We start from the raw sequence: 25,252 nt of genomic DNA, 5'->3' as shown, positions 1-25,252 counted from the left end.
TATAATATAATGATATATAATATATGATATATATGATATATATTATATTATACTATATATCATTATATTATATTATGTATAATATAGCATAATATATTATATATTAGATATAATTATATATAATTATATATTTAGATATAATTATATATAATTATATATTTAGATATAATTATATATAATTATATATTTAGATATAATTATATATAATTATATATTTAGATATAATTATATATAATTATATATTTAGATATAATTATATATAATTATATATTTAGATATAATTATATATAATTATATATTTAGATATAATTATATATATTATATTATGTACAAAATAATATATTATATATCTTCTATATAATATGTTATATATAATATAAGGATTCAGGATGTAAAAGGAAATTATATATGTGTTATATATATTATATATTATATTATATATAATTATAAATATATATATATATATTTGGGGGTGCCCTATTTCCCATCTCATAACTTATTTTGAGAAGCACAGCATAATAATGTGTGGGCTTGGGATCCAGTTTTTGAAATAAAACCCTGAACCTTCAATGACCTTCCTGTACATGTAAAAGCACACCTGTCTTCATGGCAGCAGTTGGACCTCACAGTGTGGATTGTGCCTTCACCCTGGAATGTTTATGCCCTATCGCCATGGTGATGGGATTAGGGATCTCCTGCCGTTGGTCCTAAATGCCACTGTCTGTGCTGAGTTTTTGAAAGGTCAGAGCAGATTGAACCTTTGTGGTTTCATTTTCCCTGATTTTGATTTTTCTTATGGGGAACCTGTCTTGCTGCATTCAAGGTATGTTCATACTGGCCTGTCAAATGCGATCTTTTCAAATTGCTAGTTAATGCTTTTGAAATATGTTATTTAAAAAATTATCCTCTATATTTTCCATATGCAGTTATAAATATGTTTCATGGTTATGTTTTATTCCTCAATTTATATATTTGATTATTGTACCAAGCAGAGTACATTTGAAATTTTTCTACCTTTAACAAATATGTATCTTGGCTCAGGCCTGTAATCCCAGCACTTTGGGAGGCCAAGGCAAGAGGATCACAAGGTGAGGAGATGAAGACCATCCTGGCAAATACAGTGAAACCCTGTCTTTACTAAAAATACAAAAAATTAGCCAGGCATGGTGGCACCTGGTGTAGTCCCCGTGTGGTGTAGTCCCAGCTACCTGGGAGGCCGAGGCAGGACAATCGCTTGAACCAATGAGGCAGAGGTTGCAGTGAGCCAAGATGGCGCAATTGCACTCTGGCCTGTGCAACAGAAAGTCTCTGTCTCAAAAAAATTATATATATATAATATCATAAATATTATATGTTATATATTATATTATATATAATTATATTATATTTTATTACATATTATATATCATAATATATAATATATTTTATTGTATTATATTATATATAATGTATCATAATATATAATATATTTTATTGTATTATATTATATATAATGTATCATAATATATAATATATTATATTGTATTATATTATATATAATATATCATAATATATTATATATGATATATTATATATTATATAATATTAGATATTATATAATACATATTATATATACTATATTATATATATTATAATATGATATATTATACATAATATATATTATTATATATCATAGGTAATATTATATATGTTATACATTATATATAGTATTATATATAACATATATTATATGTTATTGTATTGTTTAATATATAATATATATTATATATTATATATAATATAGTAATATATATTTTATATTATTATATTATATTATATATAATTATATATTATTATATTTTATATAATGTAATATATATAAGGATGCAGGATGTAAAAGGAAATTATATCTATTATATATATTATATTATATATAATTATATATATATATATTTGGGGGTGCCATATTTCCCATCTCATAAATTATTTTAAGAAGCACAGCATAATAATGTGTGGGCTTGGGATTCAGTTTTTGAAACAAAACACTGTGACTTCAATGATCCTCCTGCACATGTAAAAGCACACCTGTCTGCATGGCAGCAGTTGGACCTCCCAATGTGCATTGTGCCTTCACCCTGGAATGTTTATGCCCTATCGCCATGGTGATGGGATTAGGGATCTCCTGCCGTTGGTCCTAAGTGCCACTGTGTGTGCTGAGTTTTTCAAAGGTCAGAGCAGATTGAACCTTTGTGGTTTCATTTTCCCTGATTTTGATTTTTCTTATGGGGAACCTGTCTTGCTGCATTCAAGGTATGTTCATACTGGCCTGTCAAATGCGATCTTTTCAAATTCCTAGTTAATGTTTTCAAAATATGTTATTAAAAAATTATTCTCTGTATTTTCCATATGCAGTTATAAATATGTTTCATGGTTATGTTTTATTCCTCAATTTACAGATTTGATTATTGTAACAAGCAGAGTAACTTTGAAATTTTTCTTCCTTTAACAAATATGTATCTTGGCTCAGGCCTGTAATCCCAGCACTATGGGAGGCCAAGGCAAGAGGATCACAAGGGGAGGAGATGAAGACCATCCTGGCCAATATACTGAAACCCCGTCTCTACTAAAAATACAAAAAATTAGCCAGGCATGGTGGCAGCTGGTGTAGTCCCAGTGTGGTGTAGTCCCAGCTACCTGGGAGGCTGAGGCAGGACAATCAGTTGAACCCGTGAGGCAGAGGTTGCAGTGAACCAAGATGGCGCCATTGCATTCCAGCCTGTGCAACAGAAAAAGTCTCTGTCTCAAAAAAATTATATATATATAATATATATTATATATATTTTATATAACATATATTTTTTATATTATATATAATATATATTATATATTATATATATTATATATTATATATTATATAAAATGTATTATATATTATATATTATATCTATTATATACATTATATATAGTATATATTATATACCATATATAATATATGTAGTATACATGTAATATATAATATATATTATATGTCATATCATATATAATGTCATATTATATATCATATATAATATATATTACATATAATATATAATATATATTACATATAATATATAATATATATTACATATAATATATAATATATATTACATATAATATATAATACATATTACATATAATATATAATATATAATATATATTACATATAATATATAATATATAATATATATTACATATTATATATATTATATATTATACATTATATATATTACATCATATATCATATATAATATCTTATATCATATATTATATTATATATAATGTATCATAATATATTATATATTATCATATATTATATTATATATAATATATCATAAGATATAATATATTATATTATATATATCATAATATATTATATATTATATTATTACATATTATATAATATTACATATTATATTATATTATTATTATATATTATGTAATATTTTATATTATATATGTAATATTATATATATTATATTGTAATATATATTATAGTATGACATATTATATATAATATTATATATTATATATTATACATAATATATTGTATATATTATATATTATGCAATATATTATATTATATATAATATTATAGTATATATTATATATTATGATATTATATTATATTACATATAATATTATAATATATGATATATATTATAATATTATATTATATATAATATAATAATAGATATTATATATTATTATATTATATATATAATTATATACAATTATATAATCATATATAATTGTATATATTATATATATAATAATTATATATTATTATATATTATTATATATAATATATTATATATAATATAAGGATGCAGGATGTAAAAGGAGATTATGTATATTATATATATTATATTATACATAATTATGTATATTATATATATTATATTATATATAATTATATATATATATTTGGGGTGCCCTCTTTCCCATCTCATAACTTATTTTAAGAAGCACAGCATAACAATGTTTGGTCTTGGGATTCAGTTTTTGAAACAAAACACTGAGCCTTCAATGACCTTCCTGTACATGTAAAGGCACACCTGTCTGCCTGGCAGCAGTTGGACCTCCCAATGTGGATTGTGACTTCACCCTGGAATGTTTATGCCCTATCGCCATGGTGATGGGATTAGGGATCTCCTGCTGTTGGTCCTAAGTGCCACTGTCTGTGCTGAGTTTTTCAAAGGTCAGAGCAGATTGAAACTTTGTGGTTTCATTTTCCCTGTGTTTGATTTTTTTATGGGGAACCTGTCTTGCTGCGTTCAAGTTGTGTTCATACTGGCCTGTCAAATGCGATCTTTTCAAATTCCTAGTTAAGGTTTTCAAAATATGTTATTTAAAAAATTATCCTCTGTATTTTCCATATGCAGTTATAAATATGTTTCGTGGTTATGTTTTATTCCTCAATTTATATATTTGATTATTGTACCAAACAGAGTACCTTTGAAATTTTTCTTCCTTTAAAAAATATGTATCTTGGCTCAGGCCTGTAATCCCAGCACTTTGGGAGGCCAAGGCAAGAGGATCACAAGGTGAGGAGATCAAGACCATCCTGGCCAATTCAGTGAAACCCTGTCTCTACTAAAAATACGAAAAATTAGCCAGGCATGGTGGCAGCTGGTGTAGTCCCAGTGTGAGTTGGGATACAATTTATTCCCAAATTCCCAAATTATATATATATTATATATATAATTATATATAATATATATACATATATCTTCATAATATATACGTATATATATTATATATATATATATATATATATAATTTCCTTTTACATCTGCATCCTTCAACGTTCCATCCCCCACCCTACAGATTAAGTTATTCCCTAAGGGAGAATGTGGCAAAGTCTATTTTAATGCAGTTTTTAACCTTATTAAGAACCTATGAAATCATTACTTTCCAAAACTTTGGAACAAAGCCACAGTAGTATGGATGGGTTGGAGGCTTTTCACACAATAAAATGTACCTCTCTTTGTTTTTAACATGTTTTTCCCTTCCTCTCTTCTTTTTTTGTGAAATGTGTATTTACGTTAATAAATTTGTAGTAAGTCATTTCCATTCACATATTATTTTTTTAAAGTAATAAAAATGTGTATTGTCTACGTGTGAAATAAAACACACATTTATTTTTATGCTTTGGGACTTCTCCAAAATCATGGAATTGTCAATCACAGTCATTTACCCAACCTACTCACCTTTCCAGTGTAATCTTAGTCAAATTTTTTTTTGTTATCCAATGAGATGCAGTATTTCAACTCAGAAAGATAAATAGAATGAATTGGTAGAGACTATTAACTAAGAACATACAGTTTTATTTATACTCAGAAGCAAGTAGATTATGTACATATATATGAAGATAAAAATTAAAAGGATAATTGTGTAAATTTGCATGTAGAGAGCTTTGAAAACCTGTTTACTTGTTAATGCTGTTTTGATGTATTGTGTCTTTGTTCTCCCGACCCATCATCCAGAGCTCTCTGCAGGAGCTAAGTGCTCATCAGTTCCATGACTTGGAAACTGTCTAAGTTTAGAGGCACTTGTATTTGTTAGTAAATAAGGCAAGATGATATTGTTTCACAGGTTTTAGTGCAGAAGACTGAATAGATAAGCTGCTCCACCCAGTACACTGGTGTTCATTTCATGGTCATCTCATCTGTTAACCATGGATATAAAACACTTATCTTCAATGATCTTCCTGTACATGTAAAAACACACCTGTCTACATGGCAGCAGTTGGACCTCACAATGTGGATTGTGCCTTCACCCTGGAATGTCTATGATGCCCTATCGACCATGGTGATTGGATTAGGGATCTGTTGCCCTTTGCTCTGCCACTGTCTGTGCCAGCCAGGCCACTGGGCCATTGTGGCAGATGGTGATGCCCTTTGTGTGGAGCGCACTGAGTGTGCGCTGAGGCAGACACAGTACTTTTGACAACTTTATCTGCTTCTTTCAAAACTGGGTCTGCATTATGATAAAGTGGTCGGTTTTAGGCCAAGCAGGTGTATGTCATAGAACAATGACTTGGGAGGTCAGAATCCTGGGCGTGAATAAGCCTCTGAGCCTTATTAAGCTGTGAAATCTAAAGCAAGACATTTCACTGATAATTAAGCCTCATGAGCACTTATACTGTACACTTTACCTACATCAAATCATTCGGCCATCACCACAGACAAATGGCATGATTGATTTACTATCACCTTTCGCTGGGCAGAAAAAGACAGAGATGAATGTGCCCAAGCTTATGAGCCCCTCAGCAAAAGAGCCAAGATGGGAACCCAAGCATACAGCCCCAATGCTGAGGCTCTGAACTACTGACCTGCCCTCAGCACTCAGCCTTGGGATCATGAGTCACTGTGCAAGGGAGTTCCAACATCTGCATGTATGTGTGGAATGATCTGAGCCTGTAGAGTTCCTACACACTGGGCACATTATAGGGTGGTGTCTGTGGTCACACAGCTCAGGGCAGGTATTAGTACATGAATAGCTTAGCTGTGTCATAGTCTTTATGTGAAAGGCACATAAAAGCCCAAATGCTTTTGAACTGGTTGCGGATTTTGAGTTGGAGGACAACACTTGGGACAACCGGTCACATTCCTTCAGTGCGCGGCCACTCCTCAGCACATATCCCAAAGCCGGTAAATAATGGGAAGACCCTGTACTGATATTTGATGGCGTTATGAACTTCAAATGACCCCTATAGAAATGTTAAAAAAAAAAAAAAAGTCTGTGAGCTACACAAACTGGGGACAAGTAAGAACATAAAATACCACTAAATAATGAGCCTCATGTGTCACCCAGCTTGCAACTCCCTTGGCAGCTGGTTTGAAGAGCCTCAGTGCTCACCAGGGCCCATCTCCCCGCTCTGCCCTCTCTGGCTGTGGGTTGCCTGGGCTGAACATGGCCAGCCCCTCACACGATGACTGCAAACACAGGGCAAAGGAAGACTGAACGGAAAATGTACGGTTAGAGTGGTTATTTTAAAATATAAGCATTTCAGTATTTTCTAATCTTTAATAATTGATTATTTTTAGGGGAGGTTTTTTTTTTTTTTTTGAGACAGAGTCTTGCGCTGTTGCCCAGGCTGGAGTGCAGTGGCATGATCTCAGCTCACTCCAACCTCCCCATCCTGGGTTCAAGTGATTCTCCTGCTTCAGCCTCCCGAGTAGCTGGGACTACAGGCACGTGCCACCACGCCTGGCAAAGTTTTTGTGTTTTTAGTAGAGACGGGGTTTCACTCTGTTAGCCAGGATGGTCTCAATCTTCTGACCTCATGATCCACCCGCCTCGGCCTCCCAAAGTGCTGGGATTACAGGCGTGAGCCACCACACCTGGCCGGATTTTTTATTTTTTTATTTTTTGAGATGAAGTCTCTGTCACCCAGGCTGGAGTGCAGTGGTGCAATCTCAGCTCACTGCAATCTCTGCCTCCAGGTTCAAGGGATTCTCCTGCCTCAGCCTCCTGAGTAGCTGGGTTTTTTATTTTTTTTTTTTAGTTGAGATGGGGTTTTACCATGTTGGTCAGGCTGGTCTCGAACTCCTGACCTCAAATGATCTGCCCACCTCCACCTTCCAAACTGCTGGGATTACAGGTGTGAGCCACTATGCCTGACTGATTATTTTCATAACCAAGAAAAGAAATAAATATAATTAATGCTGGTGTATAGTATTAAATCTAGTTTTTAAAAAATTCACACATAAACAAGGCAGAACCCTATACCCTCCATGATAAATGCAGTAGCAGTGTATGTGGGTCTGTGGAGGTTGAAAGGGACTTGGTAGATGTCAAGAAGGTAGTGGCAGTCCTGCTGGGCTTTTAAAGGGTCTGAAGAAGTGACAGGATGCTGTGGTTGAATCCTAGCATGTATTTTAGCATTTGTTCATTTGGAGTTTGATTATTTCACATTGCTTTCATTTGCCATTACCTGGAAAGCCAAGGGCTCTACTCTCATTTCCTTGCTGCTCTTTCTTTGCCTTCCTTGGTCCGTGAAGAAGATGGTCCAGGAGAAGCTCATTCCATGCTTGTTAACCAGGCACGCCCCTAAGTTCCAGTCCCTGAGTCATTCATGAGTAGCACTGCCAATGAACTGACAGCAATGCTGTGTCCCTCCACATCCCCTAGGTGACTCGAAGAAGCCTTCCCAAAGGCGTGTGAAAAGGCAGCCCTACTCTACTACCAAGGTAAAGTAGCCTGTCTTTGCCTAAGATGTAAATGTTGTTTTCTTGGATCCTTTATTTTTCAGTTGATATCAGCTATGGGAAAATTATCCACTACATTATAGATGTTAGATAATATTTCCTTGGGGATGGAGGAGGTGTATTTTACCAGCTGACACCTGATTCCAGAGGACGTGCAAAATTGGCAGTGTCAGATAGTACACTGCGTGTTAAGAGATGTTTTCTTCAGGAACAAGCTTTCCACTTTAGATAAGAATTCTGCAATTGCTACTCAAAAATTACCTAGACAGAAACATTCTTCAACAAAAGCTCCTGTGCTTTCCTAAGGGAACTCTACTCTAGAGTTGGGGCTTTTGACTTGAACCTTATTTCCAATCTTGGTTACCCAGAGTTTCCAAGTGAACAAAAGACCTGTGTGAGCCATCCATAGCATAGCCTGATTCTCAGAGTGTTTTCCTTCTCTAATTACAGGTGACGTCAGGGAGCACATTCAATGGTACGTATTCTGGAATCACTCACTGGTTGTTAGAAAAGGATTCTATAGGAAATCTGGAGCTTAACTGCTGGCTTTTGTCTGGAGAGCCTCCATGATCCAAGACATCTGGTGGGAATGAGGATGTGGGGTATAGTAAAAGAAACTGGTTTTCCAGGTGACATACTCTTTTTATCTATGTATAGTTTCTGGGAATGTGTTCACATTAGGTTGTGTGTGGGTATGTGTGTATTAGGGCGGGGGTGGGGTGAGGTGGTCTGTGTGCAAGTCTGCATGATTTGCTTGTGAATGTGTGTCTATGTGTGTTTCCCCCAGGAAAAAAATGTTGTGTTTACCCAGCACAACTGTCAGTGCCATTTTTCTTAATTTAACAAATCAGACCACATACTTTACTTACATTAGTTCACACCTCATCATCATCATGCCCATATGTTGTGAGCTTGTTTATTGAGCCCACATGCCAGATGGAGAAACTAAGCCACATAAATAAATGTGCCCTGGTTCACTTGCTGCATAGTGAAGAGTCAAAATGTTTACTCATACGGTGCTAATGTTGAAGGCCTGAACTACAACCTCTATTTATCAGCCAGTGAAGAGATCACTATTCACCATGCAAGGGAGTTCCAGCACCCTCTATGCCTGGAATTACCCACGCCTGCAGAGATCCCAAACGCCATCCCTCACATAAGACAGCCTCATGATCTCATAATCCAGGTAGCTATGTAGACATCTTCCTGCAGGTGTCACATAGTCCTTAGTGTGAAACCAACATAGAAAGCCCATGTTTCTGATCAAATCACAGGTTCTGAAACACTAAGGGAGGCACTAAGTAGGACAACGTGGTGCCTGCGTGTCATAGCTGGGTCTCCTCAAGACATGGATCAAGTCCAGTAAGAATTGGGGAGATGCTTTAGAGTCTTGATGGAGTTATCACCACAAGCCCTCTGAGCTACACACTTTAGGGATCATGACCATTAAGTACTCAAATTACCATTTGGTTGTTATCCGGGTATCCGTCGTCCTTGTGGCAACCCTCTTGTGAAGCTGGTGTGGACAGCCTCAGTGCTGGAGCTGTGCCTGCCTTCTGAGTGGACCCTTTCTGTGTTAGCAGGTGGGTACAAGCGTGGGGGTCAGCACACTCAGTGGATTTACACACACAGCGTTGAAGAGTAAGGCTGGGCTTCGTTATTTATACATTTTCAATAAATGATGATCTTCATAACATAAAATCAATGATGTAGTACACTAGGATACTGTCCCTAGTATTGAATCTTGTCTCTCAGCAAAGGGTTGCTTAAAGTCACGTGACAGATTCCATTCAACTGATGACACATGCTGTAGCAGCAGTTAAAGCAGTCATTTGAAAAGGCTTTTACTATAAACTTATGTGTGAGCCTGAAGTGGGGGATAAAAGAGGTGATTAGCTCCCCTGTGCCATGTTTCTATTATGTGCATGGTGGAGGAAAATTACACAGGAAGGTGATGGAGAGAACAGAGCAAAGGATTGGACAGGTCCATTGAACCCATAAGACTATGGTGAGGTTAGTGAATGAGACTGGTCATTTTAGGTCAAATTTTACCCAGAGCTGGTGCAGCCACTGCCCATTCTTAGCCAGACCTTATTGCAGGCAGCTCTGATCAATAGTCAAGGAGGCAGTGGGGCTTGCAGACTTAATTCATTAAATCACCAAAGCACCAGCCCACACGGCCACTTTTCCAGTTAATTCACAGTAGCTTGCATATTCAGGTTTAATCAGTGGAAGGGAAGTTACTCTTTGCAGACCCATCTTTTGACAATCATTGTGCGGTGTCGGAAGGTCTGAGCAGCCTCGGGAGGCAAGCAGTCCCTGGTCCCTCAGTGTAGTCACTGGAGGAGACAGTCACTGAGAGGCAGCTGGCAGGGTGAAGGGCAAGGGGAGGCAGGCCACAGAGATGACAGCCTTTAAGCTGTCATACTGGGAGGTCAAGGATCTGAAAGAGGAAGGAGAATTCTTTATCATTAAGGACCTGTCCTTATCTCAGGCATTTCCTCCAGAGCACCACCTTTGTCCACCCACACACCTTGGGCTAGGAGGACTGGAGAAAGACAGTGAGGGGTCTCTTGGGTCTCTGGCACAGGGCATGATGAAGAGGTGGCAGTTTTTCAGGAATCTCTCTCTCTAGGGAACCAAATACATTTCCCATCTCAGGTCCTTCACTCAGCGGGGTTGAGGTTCTGCTCGTCACTTATCATCTCTGAATGTCAGCACCCTCAAGTGTAAAATCTCAGCCACAGCCCCTCCTCTGCACCCCCTGCAGGGCTGATGTTCTCCATAAACCATAAGGCGTCATGCCCACGGAAAAGCCGAACAGGAAAGCATGCTCCACTGCCCCGGAGCCATCCAAGTTCCCCCTCCATATTCCGCCACTGCTAAGTGTCCAGCTTATTCCTCCTGGCATGTAGTAAACACTTAGAGAACATTACTGAAGTACCAGTCCTCTCTAAGGTTTTCCTGTATTTAGTGATTTTTTAGCCCTGTACTGTGATACTAAGAAGTAGGGCCTAAATAGGGCCTAAAAAGTATTGCTAAAATTACATTATGACAGTGCAGAGAACTGAGGGCAGAGGGAGGACATGAGCTTGCCAGGTCCACATGGCTTAGTGGAATTTGAATCCGGGCCCCCACTCTGCACCAGCCCTGCACTCACAGTCATCCGGCTGTGTTCCCCTCTCCAGGAAGGCACTGCCCACGCAGTCTGTCTGATAGAGGTGTTGAGTGCTCACTGAACTCCGTGATCTTCCTGAAACCCAACTTTGATTCAGTGGGCTCTGCTTGGAAGCCTGTAAAGAAAAGGATCATAAGTTTAAACTTAGAACAGATTATCACTATTTTCCCTCTGGTCTTCTGTCAGCAAGATGTCAACAGCCCTATCTATTGTAAATGCATTAACCAGCGTCTTCTCTGATAGAGAATACAAGAAGATATGCTGTGCACACCAACCAGTGTAGGAGACCTCATGGCTCCCGGGTAAAGAAGAAGAGGTACCCACAAGAAGGTACTGTGGAAGTTCATTAATTAAGTTGATTCAAGAATTGCAGTTGCGGGGAGTATTCAGTGTCCCATATGTAAGAGGAAACTATGAAGAGACTAAGCCATATTTTTTAATGTGTCAGGATTCTAATTTGCCTGGTCAGTAAATATTGCTACCACCACAAAAGTAAATATCTACTTAAAAGTCAATTTTGGTTCATGTTTAATGATAGACAATGTTTCAAGCTAATGTCTAGAACTTACCTGGTTGTTAAACATAAGCATAGATCTCCCTGAAAGAGTGGTGCTATATTATTATTTTTCAATTAATATATTTCTTTAGAGAGTTTTAAATTGACATAAAAACTGAGCATATGGCCGGGCATGGTGGCTCACACTTATAATCCCAGCACTTTAGGAGGCCAAGGCAGGCAGATCATCTGAGGTCAGGAGTTGGAGACCAGCCTGGCCAACATGGTGAAACCCCATCTCTACTAAAAATCCAAAAAAATTAGCCAGGTGTGGTGGCAGGCGCCTGTAATCCCAGCTACTCAGGAGGCTGAGGCAGGAGAATCGCTTGAACCCAGGAGGCAGAGGTTGCAGTGAGCCAAGATCATGCCATTGCACTCCAGCCTGGGTGACAAGAGTGAAACTCCATCTCAAAATAAATAAATAAATAAATAAATAAATAAATAAATACATAAAAATTGAGTATATAATACAGGAAGTTCCCATATTATTCTGTCTCCTCACCCTCACTTCCTAATTTCACCTATTAGTAACATCTTACATTATTGTGGTACATTTGCTAGAATAATGAGAAAATATTGACACATTATTATCTGAAGTCTACATTTGCATAATGTTCATTCTTTCTGTTATACATATATATGAATTTTGAAATATTTAAAACATTATGTTCACCCTTATGGTCTCATAAAGAAAATGTTCACTTCCCTAAAAATCCTCTCTTCTCATTAATCTCTGTCCTCTTTCTCCAGAAACCTTGGCAACTATTAATATTTTTACTATCGCTTCAGCTTTGCCTTTTCCAGAATGTCATATAGTTGGAATCATATATTATGTAGTTTTTTCAGATGAATTTATTGCACTAAATTGATGTACGCTTTAGCTGCTTTCATGTCTTTTTTATGCCTTAATGGCAAAAAATGGCACATTAAATCACCAAATAATATTGCATTAAATGAATTTTTGTCTTTTTATTCACCTGTTGAAGAATTCGGTAGATTTCATGAGAGAAACCATCTGGGCCTGGTGCTTTCTTTTTCGGAATGCTCTTAATGTGAATTCAACTTATTTAATAGACATAAGTTTATTCAAATTAGGATCCTAGCATGACCTTGGGAAGATTGCCTTTCAAGGAATTGATACATTTCACTGAGGTTATCAAACTGCGCTCATAGAACTGTTCATGATATTCCTTTTAATGCCTAACAGTTCAGTAGAGATGGCTCCTCTTTTATTTCTGAAATTGGTCATTTGTGTTATCTTCTTTTTCTTGGTTAGCCTGCATATCAATTCATTCATTGTAATGAGCATATCAAAGAACCAGCTTTTGGTTTTATTGATTTTCTGATGATTTCAGTGTTTTAATTTTATTGATTTCTGTGATGTTGTTTATTACTTTTACTTGCTTTCCATTGCATTCCTCTATTTTCTATAGTTCCCTAATTGAAACATGATATTACTGATTTTAGGTCTTGTGATTTTTAGTATATTGCATCCAATGCTATAGATTTCCCTCTAAGGACTGCTTTTGCTACATCCAGAAATCTTGCCAAGTCACATTTTCTTTTAATGTAGTTAAAAGTATTTTTAATTTTCTATTGAGACTTCTTTAACCCAACAGTTACTTAAAAGTGCATTGCTAATTTGCAAATATTTGGGGATTTTGTGGCTCTTTTACAGTTGTTGATTTTTTGTTGTCAGGTATGTGTTGCAAAAGCAGTCGTCTACCTCATCTTGCCACCACCCAAGACGGCCCAGGATGTGGGCTCTCCCTGAGTGAATCTTTGGCAATCTGCCAACCTGATGTGTTCGGCCTCCTTCTTTAGTCTGAGCTTGCCTTCTGCTTAGAAAGGGCCATTCTCAGTTCTGGCAGGGAGTTTTCCCAACATTGAGAAGGTGGCATTCTTACTCCCCACTGCAGCCTGCACCTCTGACCGGTGGTCAGCAGACAGGACAGAGGTCCTCATTAGACAGAGTTCAGCAGGGTCTCTGACCAAAGTGCATCTTCAGAGTCTGCACCTACCCACTGTGACCACGGGCAGGCTCTGAGTCCTAACGCAGGAGGAACTGTGCGACCATCCTGATTGGAAATTTGTGAGGATCACCGTGTTACTCAAGTAAGGTCTTTGGAAAGTGTCGTATTACTACTGTTTGTGAACTGCTTGTTGGTGGCCTGGCTGAGCCACACACTTTATGAAAACCAGGACCCCTCAGCTGGTGTGGGTGTCTATGCAGCCTGAGACCCTCATGTGAACAGCCTCGTGGCAGCTGTCTTTGCCCCTTGCCACCATCAGTGCCTCCTTGTTCCTGGGCACTGCTTTCTCTGATGGTGCTCCATTGTTTTCCTGCACCTCAGTGTCTACAGCTGGATGTCTCTTCCGCAATCTAGGCGAGGGGGCATCAACGGCAGTTCTGCTGTGGCACTGCCCTCCTTCTTAGCTTGTCTTGCTCTGTCTTAGGCTCCCTCAAAGATCCCACCCTTCAGGTTCTTCCACAAGTTTCTTATTGAAATCCAAGCAGAAAACTATGACCAATATGACCAATCCTATACCCACTGAAGACATGAATGAAGAATTAAAACAATTCTCCATGGACTCTACCATATAGATCCCTAGAAGTAATTTCTAAAAAAAAAAAAAAATCAAGGAAGATGTAATAGTTTTCCATAAATTAGAATACCCTACATGTACAATTAAATGAAATGGCTAGTATAGTCTTGAAACCAAAACCAGTTAAGGTAAATTAAATTCTGTGATATTTTAAAATACTGTAAATTCTGACTAATGTGAGTTAATCTCAAAATATGAAATAGTAGATTAACATTGAAAATGCAATAAATAAAATTAGCTACCTCAAGAGTTTAATGGAAAAAATGTGATTATTGCAATAGATTCAGGAAATTCATGAATAACATTCACCCTATATTTGTAGGACAACTATCTAACTTTAAGTGACCTGTGACAACCATTTGAATTAATTCTGCTTTCACAGCATATCTCTTGGCTTGTTAAAAACCCGACAAGAATTTCCGTAACATTAATTTATTTTTAACACCTATATTGGGTGTGAACCCACCATAAAGTTTGCCCACTGAAAAGGTCTACAATTTGATGCTTTATTAAATTGATACTGTGTGCACCCATCACCACCATCTAATTTAAATATGTTTCCCTCACCCAAGTTCTCTCTTGCGCACTGGCAGTTAATCCCCACTCCCATCTCCAGCCCTAAGCAATACTGCTGTGACATTCCATCTCCATAAATTTCCCATTTGCTTAATAGAAATGGACATATATATATATTTGGAATCTGACTTCCTTCATTTAGCATACTATGTTTGAAGTTAATTGACGTGTTAGCACGTGCTGGTCATGTGTTTTCCTTCATAGTCTGCTGTGTTTACTCATACAGATAGTGTTTATTCATTTATCAGTTAATGGACATTTAATTGTTTTGTTATTTTCTTTGATGAGTAATGTAGCTTTGAGCATTCATATACAGTCATGTAATGCATAATGACATTTCGGTCAAAAAAATTTTTTTTTTTCTGAGACCCAGGCTGGAGTGCAGTGGCACAATCTCGGCTCACTGGAACCTCCACCTCCCAGGTTTAAGCAATTCTCGTGCCTCAACCTCCCGAGTAGCTGGGACAACTGGCACACGCCACCATGCCTGGATAATTTTTGTATTTTCAGTAGAGACAGGATTTTGCTGTGTTGGTCAGGCTAGTCTCAAACTCCCAGCCTCAGGTGATCCACCCATCTCTGCCTCCCAAAGTGCTGGGATTATAGGCATGAGCCACCACACCCAGCCTAATTTTTTTAAGAAAGAAGGGAACTATTTTCTAAATTACTTTTGCCAATTTATATTTCTACCATGATGCATAGCACTAATTTCACTGTACAATATATGGTAGGCCCCAATATGTAAGAAATGATGAAAATAACACATAAAGATTGGTATAAAACAAATAAGATTATCATTGTTGCTATCATCTTTGTCAAATTCTGAAAACAATCTGAGTATATTTTTATATAAATATGCTTGGCAACATAGCTGAAAAACGCATTATCAGTTACATTTATCAGTAACAAAGACATAAATTTGAAGGGGGAAAAACACTTGTACTAACAACGCAATGTCAGAATTAACATAAAAATTCTGCTGGTCACTTTGGAATATTTAATTGCCTGGGGCAGTGTTTAGTAGACAAATGAGCATCTATGGAGCACTCAAAGTAGGGGAATCAACAGAACTTGGGTTTGAAAAGTTATCTGGGTTTAGAGCGTGAAACTTTGTTAGAGGACACGCACCTTGCATGAGCGAGGTGCCCTGGTGTGTGTGGACGTACCATTATGCTTGGAGGTACAGCATAATGGTGGCTTCCTCCAGAAAGGGACATTTGGGGTGGATTCATTCCATCTAGACAACACAGCCTGATGTGGCATGGACATGAATGGAGGTGAAATGGTCAGTAGTTGAGAGGATCAGTCCTGACAAGGGCCGAGGTGAAAAACCTGGGAACCCCTTCAGGTACAAAGTCTTCAGTTGAAAAAGGAGGTGGTCACAGGGAATACTGAGACAGGACAGCAAAGCATGGGAGACAGAGTTCTTGGCCCTGCAGGGTGAGTAGTGTGGATTCTCAAGTTTTCTCCTCTCTCCATTAATTTCTTTCCCAATGCAGATGACTTCCATCATACAGTCTTCAGCAACCTTGAAAGATTGGACAAGCTTCAGCCCACTCTTGAAGGTAAAGGAAGGCAGCTAACAAGACTGGCATCTGGGCTTGGCTGTGCGTGTTTTCTATCATGGGGAAATATATATAACACAATATTTATCATTTGAACCTTTTAACCAAAGTGTGCACTCCATGGCATTCAATATATTCACAGGGTTGCATAACCAACACCACTATCTACACCCACAATTTTGATGATTTCTTACGAAACCTTGTCCACAATAAGCAGTATAGCACCTTCCCCCTATTTCCAGCCCATGGTGATTCCTATCCGACTTTCTCTTGTATGAATTTGACTATTCTAGGCACTTCATGTAATTACAATTATACAATATATTCCTTTTGTGTCTGGCTTATTTCACTAAGCATAATGTTCTCAATGTCCACCCATGTTGTATCATCTATCAAAATGATGTTCGTTTTTTACAGATGGATGATGTAGCATTGCATGCAGACCACCTTGCTTTTATTACATTCATTTGTTCACTGATGGTTGGATTATTTCCACCTTTTGGCTCCTGTGAAAAGTGATGCTACAAACATTAGTATACAAACATCTGTTTGATTTCTGTTCTCTATTCTTTGGGGTGCCTAAGAGTAGAGTTCCTGGGTCCAACAGGGGTTCTATATTTAACCTTCTGAGCCACTGCAGACTGTTTTTCACAGTGGCTGCAACTTTATCCATTTCTACCATCAAAGTATCAGGGTAACAATTTCTTTACGTCCTTCTTCACACTTATTTTCCTTTAAATCATCCTAGTAGGTGTATATTGGTGGCTGCTTGTGTTTTTCATTTGCATTTCCCTAATGACTAATGATCCTGAGCAGCTTTTCCTGTGCTACTATCTGTGGCTGTATCTTCTTTAGGGAAATATATGTTGAAGTCTTTTGCCCATTTTTAAAGAGTTGTCTGATTTTTATTTAGTTAGTTTGTTGTTGTAGATTTTTGAATATATCTTAAATATATTTAAAATATATTCTAAATTTTAGTCTCTTACAAGAGAAATGATTTGCAAATATTTCCACCTTTGTGTAGAACTTTAGATTCACAAACTTCGTTAATTTGTATGAAATCCTCAGCAGTTGACCCCAAACAGATAAGACTGAAGCAGTATTTTAGGAATAGTTGAAAGTATGATCACCACAAAACATAAGCGTAATCAAATCCTGCAAGCTACATGTAAGGCACAATGACAAATAAGGCAGCAAAGGGCCATCTGGTGATTAGTTCACCACACTTGTTGCAACTGTTTGCGCTGCAGAGTTAAAACACACCAGCATTCAACCCGTGTCTCCTCTCTTGAAGTAAACTGTCGTATGTTGGCTGGCCTGAACAAGCGTAGATATTCTCCATCCTCAATTAATATGCATGCATGACAAAGAAAAGGAGGCCTGGATGAAAAAATATTGTGTGATTAATAATTATGCTTTAATTAATTTTAAAGGATATAATTTCAGTACTTCTAATTCCCCCATCAGCAGTTATAACAAAGGATTAGTGAATAAATACCATAGACTGTTTTGCCTAGAATTGAATCCAATCTATCTATTAAACTTTGCTTTTATTCAAGTGCAAAATGCTAAAACACATAACTGCAGTGACAGCCACTGTGGATCCTCAGAGGTAAAAGTAGTCTTGGGACATAAATCCTGCAAGCTAATATTGTTTTTACAGGTTTAGAAAACCATTTAGCTGGGTTTCAAACCTCACAGTGTGAGCAGTGGGACTCTCATCAAACTATAGCATGTGCTTCAGTACCATTTGTAGACTGACTCATTCCCATTTTCTTAAGTTGCCATCAGCAAAATGCCAGGGACTCTATTTCTTGCTCCTTAGCTCCTCGTTCTTGCCTGTCTTTCCACGAGGGAAGATTTTCTAGCAGGAGCTCAAGCTGTGCTTTTAATGAAACACATCCACACACACTGTCCTGTTGTCCACATTAAGCAGAGCTCCCTGAATAACTCATGAACAAAAGCATCTATGACTAACTGTTGCTCTGTGTCCTCCTAGCCTCTGAGGAGTCTCTAGTTCACAAGGACAGAGGAGATGGAGAGAGGCCAGTCAACGCGAGGGTAAGGTTGCCTTGCTTTCTCTGAAATAGAAATGTTCCTTTCTTGGTGTCTTTCTTTTTCAACTGACTTTACATGTGAAAAAATGACAATGTCCATGACAGGTATTAAATGCAGTTTTCTGAGGGGGAGGAAGAAGTGACTCTTAGCAACTGATATGTAATCCAAAATGGCATTTAGCTATGCCGGCTTCAGGTTGTAGACTGTATCCTTGGGGTCCTTGTCCCTGGAAGCGATGTCTTCTCCTTGGATTCAGTATTTTGCACTTGCCAACCTACGTGGACCTGAGAGATCCACCATCCAGAAGCTGATGTCTTTTCCAGTGTGTATCCCACCCTTGTTTTGGAGGCCTTGAAGTTGACTACACTTTCTGATCAAGTTTTCAGTATTCATTGAGAGAAACAGAGCCTTGTGCAAACAATCCACAACATGACATACCCCTCAAAAAGCTTTGTTTCTGTATTGCAGGTGGTGCAGGTGGCCCCTCTGAGGCTTGAATCTAGTAAGTATTCTGGAATCACTTGCCAAGAAAACAATCTGGATGCCAAGAAAGGTGTGGCATCCTTGCCTGGTTTCAATGTGAAGAGCCACCCTGATCCTGGGATTGTGATAGGAATAAGTATAGGGGAAGTGTTTTTTTAAAACCTGAATTCCCCAGGGAAAAATTATGGCCAAATTTTGAGGAAGCAGCTGTGCTCCCTTTTGGGTGGTGCTGAGTTGGGTGCTTGAGGATTGGTGGTGTCTTGTGTGAGGCTGCATCGTGTGGTGTGAATGTGTGTGTTTCTGTACAGGTGAGGCTGTGTGTTTTCTCAGGAGAGATTTCCCACTTATACAACCCAATCACCAGTGTCCACTTCTAACAATAAAATCCACCCCCGCTCTACTCTCTCTGTACAGTGACTCCTCCACCCTCACCAGAGCCATCCCCGGGTCTGCCTTATTATCCCCACTGCTCAGGTGGAGAACCTGAAGGGCCAAGGGAGTGGCCCCAGCTCCCGAGTTCCTGAATGAAACAGTGAAAACACGAACCCAGGAGTGTGGACCAGTGCTGACGCTGACATGCACTTAGTCATGGGGTGTTCACCACCACACAGGGAGTCCAGCATTCATGTATAAGCCCTAAAGCAACGAGCCCAAAAGGCCCCAGACACTGCCCATCATCATAAAGTGGCCTCCGTGGTCACACAACCCAGGGCAGTTATAGGCTCATCTCCCCACGGACCGGCATAGTCATCAGTGTGTCAAAAGCACAAAGATCCCCAGGTGTTTGGCTCAGCTCACAGATCCCTTTTGTTATTTAACTTTTCAGTTCAGGGGTACATGTGCAGGATGTGCAGGTTTGCTACATATATAAATGTGTGATGAGAGTTTTTTGTACAGATTATTGCATCACCCATATATTGAGCCTAATATCAGTTATTTTTCCTGATCCACCCCCTCCTCCCACCTCCCACCCTCCAGTAGGCCCCACGCTCACAAATTCTAAGAGGAGTGGGGGACCACAAAGGCCAGTGTGGCCCACTTCAGTTGTGAAGTTAATTTGCTCAGCAACTGGCCAAAGTCTATAAGGATGGGTGATGTATTTTAGTAGATTTAGTAATACTATCTTCCCAAGCCCTAAAATGCTCAAATCCTGCCAGCCAAAAATGGTGAGGAGGGACAGATAGGAACTCTGTGTGGCACTTGGTTATTAGCCTGGCTTCCATCCCTTAGTGGCAACTCTCTTGTATATGTGGGTTAAAGACCCTCAGCCTCAAGCCAAGCCTCCTCCATGAGGAGCCATCTCACTATTGACCGGCTAGTGCCGGGTATGGCCACCAGCCCAACTGAAACAAAATGTTGCTCTAAAACAAGTGTAAATCTCATACATACAACAGGCAAATGCAGAAGCAGTGTGGTCTCGCAAGTTGTAAAGAGGACAGTCGCAATTTTGCTGGACTTCAACCTGGGTAGAAGACATGAGGGAACTCTGTCACTAAATCACGGCAGAGTTCAAGGCCACTTGTAGACTATTTCATGTTACAGAAGGTGGCCTTTAGCTACTAAGCAAAGGCCTCTGTTTCTCATTTCTTTCCTGTTCATCTTCTTGGTCATCCTTCTTCCGCAAGGGAAACGAGCCCAAGCAAAAGGCAGTTTCAATATTAATTTGACTGAGGTTTTGTGCAGTTTATTATCATCCAGGTAATCAGGTGCAACCCAGTCTGCCTAGCAGCCCCCCTATCTCTGCTCTGTGTTTTCATTTAATAAACATTTTGGTCTACTTACTATGTGCTAGATTTTCTCGAGACCAAGTAAATGAGATAGAATCTTTATGTTGGCAGCTAAGTTAGATTTCACATAACTGACAAAAATTAAAATTTCTGATTTCTTGTAAAAATATTTTGTATGTGTGAATGCATACTGAACGTAAAGTGGATAAAAAACTCACACTTGCACTCATGGGAGGCTTTTCATGAATTTGTCAATTTTTATTTTTTATATTTCCCCACTTCACCAGATAATGCATACCTGAACCTGGAAACTGATTCCCACTGCAGAAAGTGTTCTGAGCCACATCCCTTAGCTTCACTAGTGCAGGTCCACCTGGGAGGATGTCCCAGCATCAGCTTGACCCATGCTGTGATCAGCCACCTCCATGCATCACACCAAGCAAGCCCCTGGGTGATTCACAGTCTCCACCACCAGGGCACTGACCTTAACTCTGTGTTTTTCTAGCTCCCCATGAGGACACCGTACACGACATCACTAACGAGGACGCCACACACGACATCGCTAACGAGGATACTGTACACGACATCGCTAACGAGGCCGCCGACAAGGGCATCGCCAACGAGGACGCCGCCCACGGCATCGCCAGCGAGGACGCCGCCCACGGAATCGCCAGCGAGGACGCCGCCCACGGCATCGCCAGCGAGGACGCCGCCCAGGGCATCGCCAGCGAGGACGCCGCCCAGGGCATCGCCAGGGAGGACGCCGCCCAGGGCATCGCCAAGGAGGACGCCGCCCAGGGCATCGCCAAGGAGGGCGCCGCCCAGGGCATCGCCAAGGAGGACGCCGCCCACGGCATCGCCAACGAGGACTCCGCCCACGGAATCGCCAGCGAGGACGCCGCCCACGGCATCGCCAGCGAGGACGCCGTCCAGGGCATCGCCAAGGAGGACGCCGCCCAGGGCATCGCCAACGAGGACGCCGCCCAGGGCATCGCCAAGGAGGACGCCGCCCAGGGCATCGCCAAGGAGGACGCCGCCCAGGGCATCGCCAACGAGGGCGCCGCCCAGGGCATCGCCAAAGAGGACGCCGCCCAGGGCATCGCCAACGAGGACGCCGCCCAGGGCATCGCCAACGAGGACGCCGCCCACGGAATCGCCAGCGAGGACGCCGCCCACGGCATCGCCAGCGAGGACGCCGTCCAGGGCATCGCCAAGGAGGATGCCGCCCAGGGCATCGCCAACGAGGACGCCGCCCAGGGCATCGCCAACGAGGACGCCGCCCAGGGCATCGCCAAAGAGGACGCCGCCCACGGCATCGCCAACGAGCTGTATACGACATCGCTAACGAGGACACCCTACAAGCCGTCGCTAACAAGTACACTGTACACAACATCGCTAATGAGGGCACTGTACAAGACATCACCAATGAGGGCGCTTTATACGACATTGCTAATGGCACCGACAAGGCACGCTAACGTGGACGCTGTACACGACATTGCTAATGAGGACAGCGTATAAGACATCGCTAGTAACTATCGCAAGAACAAAAAACCAAACACCGCATATTCTCACTCATAGATGGGAATTGAACAATGAGATCACATGGACACAGGAAGGGGAATATCACACTCTGGGGACTGTTGTGGGGTGGGGGGGGAGGGATAGCATCGGGAGATATACCTAATGCTAGATGATGAGTTAGTGGGTGCAGCGCACCAGCGTGGCACATGTATACATATGTAACTAACCTGCACAATGTGCACATGTACCCTAAAACTTAAAGTATATATATATAAAAAAAGACATCGCTAGTGAGCACGCTGTATACGACATCGCTAATGAGGACACCATACAAGGCATCGCTAACGATGACGCTGTACACAACATCACTAATGATGACACCGTATAAGACATCGCTAATTATGACGCTGTATACGACATCGCTAATGACACCGTACAAGGCACGCTAACGAGGATGCTGTACACGACATCACTAATGAGGACAGTGTACAAGCCATCACTAATGAGGACACTGTATATGGCATCGCTAACGAGGACACTGTACAAGGCATTGCTAACGAGGACGCTGTACACAACATCGCTAATGAGGACACCATATAAGACATCACCAATGAGGATGCTGTATATGACATCGCTAATGGCATCCACAAGGCATGCTAACGAGGACGCTGTAGACGACATTGCTTATAAGGACACCGTACAAGACATCGCTAACGAGGACGCTGTATACGACATCGCTAATGAGGACGTTGTATATGACATCGCTAATGAGGATGCTTTACAAGACATAGCTAATGAGGTTGCTGTATATGACATCGCTAATGAGGACATTGTATATGACATCGCTAATGAGGACGCTCTATACGACATCATTAATGAGGACGCTGTATACAACATCGCTAATGAGGACGCTGTATATGGCATCGCTAATGAGGATGCTGTATACGAATTCGCTAATAAGGACGCTGTATATGACATTGCTAATGAGGACACTGTACAAGACATCTGTAAAAAAGAAGATGCTGCCAATGTAAGACACTTTTCTTTGTCTTGAAGAGAAATGTTACTTTCCTGGCTTCTTTCCAATCAGATGTAGACATGAACATCTGCCAGTGTGCATTATCGATGTCATCTGCAGTTTAATCAAATGTAGACATGAACATCTGCCAATGTGGACTATTTATGACATCTGCAATTCCCTTGGTGTGGTGCTATTGATTGGCAGCCTCTCACCAACCCATGCCAGGCACACTGGGGTGTGGTAGATGGCAGCATCCACGATCCACTGCAATGCAGAGGTGTTTCCCTCCACAGCAGTTTTCCCCCATGGATTAAGAGTTGTGAAACTGCCAATCTAGATACACTTTAAAGATAAATTCTGTGGGAAAAGGTCTTGTCTTTTCCACAGGTGTCTTCCGTGCCAGTTTTGGGGGACTTCGACCTTTGACTCAATCACTATACCCCTTCATATTTTCTCTCTCAAGTTGTCGAGAGACTATCAGATCTGTGTGACGTGTATGGCATCATTTCACCCTCCTAATGTTTTCTTTTCTATAATTGCAGGAGCCATTGACACTGGAGAATGATACGTACCCTGAAATAACTCACTTCCTGAGGAAAAAGCGCCATCTCTAGGGTACAGAAACCTGATTCTGGGCTCCTTTTGCGAAGGAGGATTTGGGGTCTGGTGAGAGCAAATGATTTTGCAAGTATAAAACCATGTCCAGAGAGGCTGTAGGGATATCTGTGAGCCCAGAGGAAACACCAGGGGATCCTGTGCGAAGCACCATGGCTTCAGCTAGGGTGGGAGGAGTGGGTGGGCCTCTCTCTAATGACTTATCCTGGTGTTTGTGTTTCTAAAGATTTGATTGTGGAGAGCATATCTGATGATGGGGATTTGTAGGTAGGTAACTGCTTTCCACGTAAGATCCAATTGGAGAGAGTTCCCAGGGGCCTTCGGGTTATCCATGCTGCTTGGGAGGTTAAGGGAGGGGGCATGAAATCAAAACGAAACAGGAAATATGTGTCATATTGGATTTGGTCTTTTCCGGGTTTATTGGCATAATAGTTAGAACTGTCTCTCTGGGCTATGAGGGTGCTGTGTTATTTAAAGGTGGTCTTTCCCAGAACACCTGGCCTTTTCTTTTCTGCCTCTGCCAAACATCACAGCCTTTGGGTTGGATTAGTCAGCACCCCTTGGGATTGTGCAGAAGAGGTTTGGGGTTGCATCGAGTGTCACCTGTGGTGAACAGAATCTGAGAGACACAACTCTCTCACAGGCACTTCCTCCAACCTGGAGACAGAATTCTCCTGGTGTGTGCCCAGGGGTGGAGGAGAAATTGACAGTTTGCCTCTGAACTTTCAGGACTTTAAAAAGCACTCATGTTTCCATCCTCACTGTTGACTCCTGGCTTAAAGGGATCTCCCGGGGTGAGTGAGGAGGCGGGATCGGACCCTGGCAGTCTGACGGCAGCACCTGTGTTCCTCTGCACTGGGCCGTGGATGACATTACACACCTTGGTGAGAATCAGGAATTGAGGCTAACCACATCTGAAATTGAGATGGGCCTTGAGTCATATAAATAGTTTGGAAAAGATGCATTTTACTACGTACGCTATTGAAAGAAACCATTTATTTCTCACTCCAGCAGGATAAATGGTTTTCAGTATCCATTTAACTGCTCATTGACTCTTACTGTAGATGAGGAGGTGGCCAGCAGCCCCTGCCCTCCCCCAGTTGGTAGGCCCAAG

General features: G+C 40.1%; 1 long non-coding RNA gene across 3 annotated transcripts in view; it reads left to right on the top strand.

Annotated features, from left to right (window-relative positions):
* FAM230F (family with sequence similarity 230 member F) overlaps nt 1-25,252 on the top strand; it is a 31,723-nt gene that overhangs the window by 1,613 nt on the left and 4,858 nt on the right. The window contains exons 1-12 of one of the 3 annotated variants that reach the window (NR_165501.3): nt 2,181-2,289; nt 8,155-8,213; nt 8,682-8,706; nt 11,653-11,739; nt 16,648-16,713; nt 18,713-18,774; nt 19,240-19,273; nt 21,487-21,539; nt 21,567-23,532; nt 24,066-24,138; nt 24,365-24,405; nt 24,868-25,022. This is a non-coding gene — a long non-coding RNA (family with sequence similarity 230 member F). Of the gene's footprint in view, nt 1-720; nt 824-2,180; nt 2,290-8,154; nt 8,214-8,681; nt 8,707-11,652; nt 11,740-16,647; nt 16,714-18,712; nt 18,775-19,239; nt 19,274-21,486; nt 23,533-24,065; nt 24,139-24,364; nt 24,406-24,867; nt 25,023-25,252 lie in introns of those variants that run through there. The other 2 variants (NR_165500.3, NR_136571.2) reach the window with 2 other exon arrangements.

Source organism: Homo sapiens, chromosome 22 (assembly GCF_000001405.40).
Source record: "Homo sapiens chromosome 22, GRCh38.p14 Primary Assembly".
Taxonomy (NCBI): domain Eukaryota; kingdom Metazoa; phylum Chordata; class Mammalia; order Primates; family Hominidae; genus Homo; species Homo sapiens.
The sequence above is the reverse complement of the archived record's forward strand: the minus strand, read 5'-3'. Positions and strand labels throughout refer to the sequence as shown.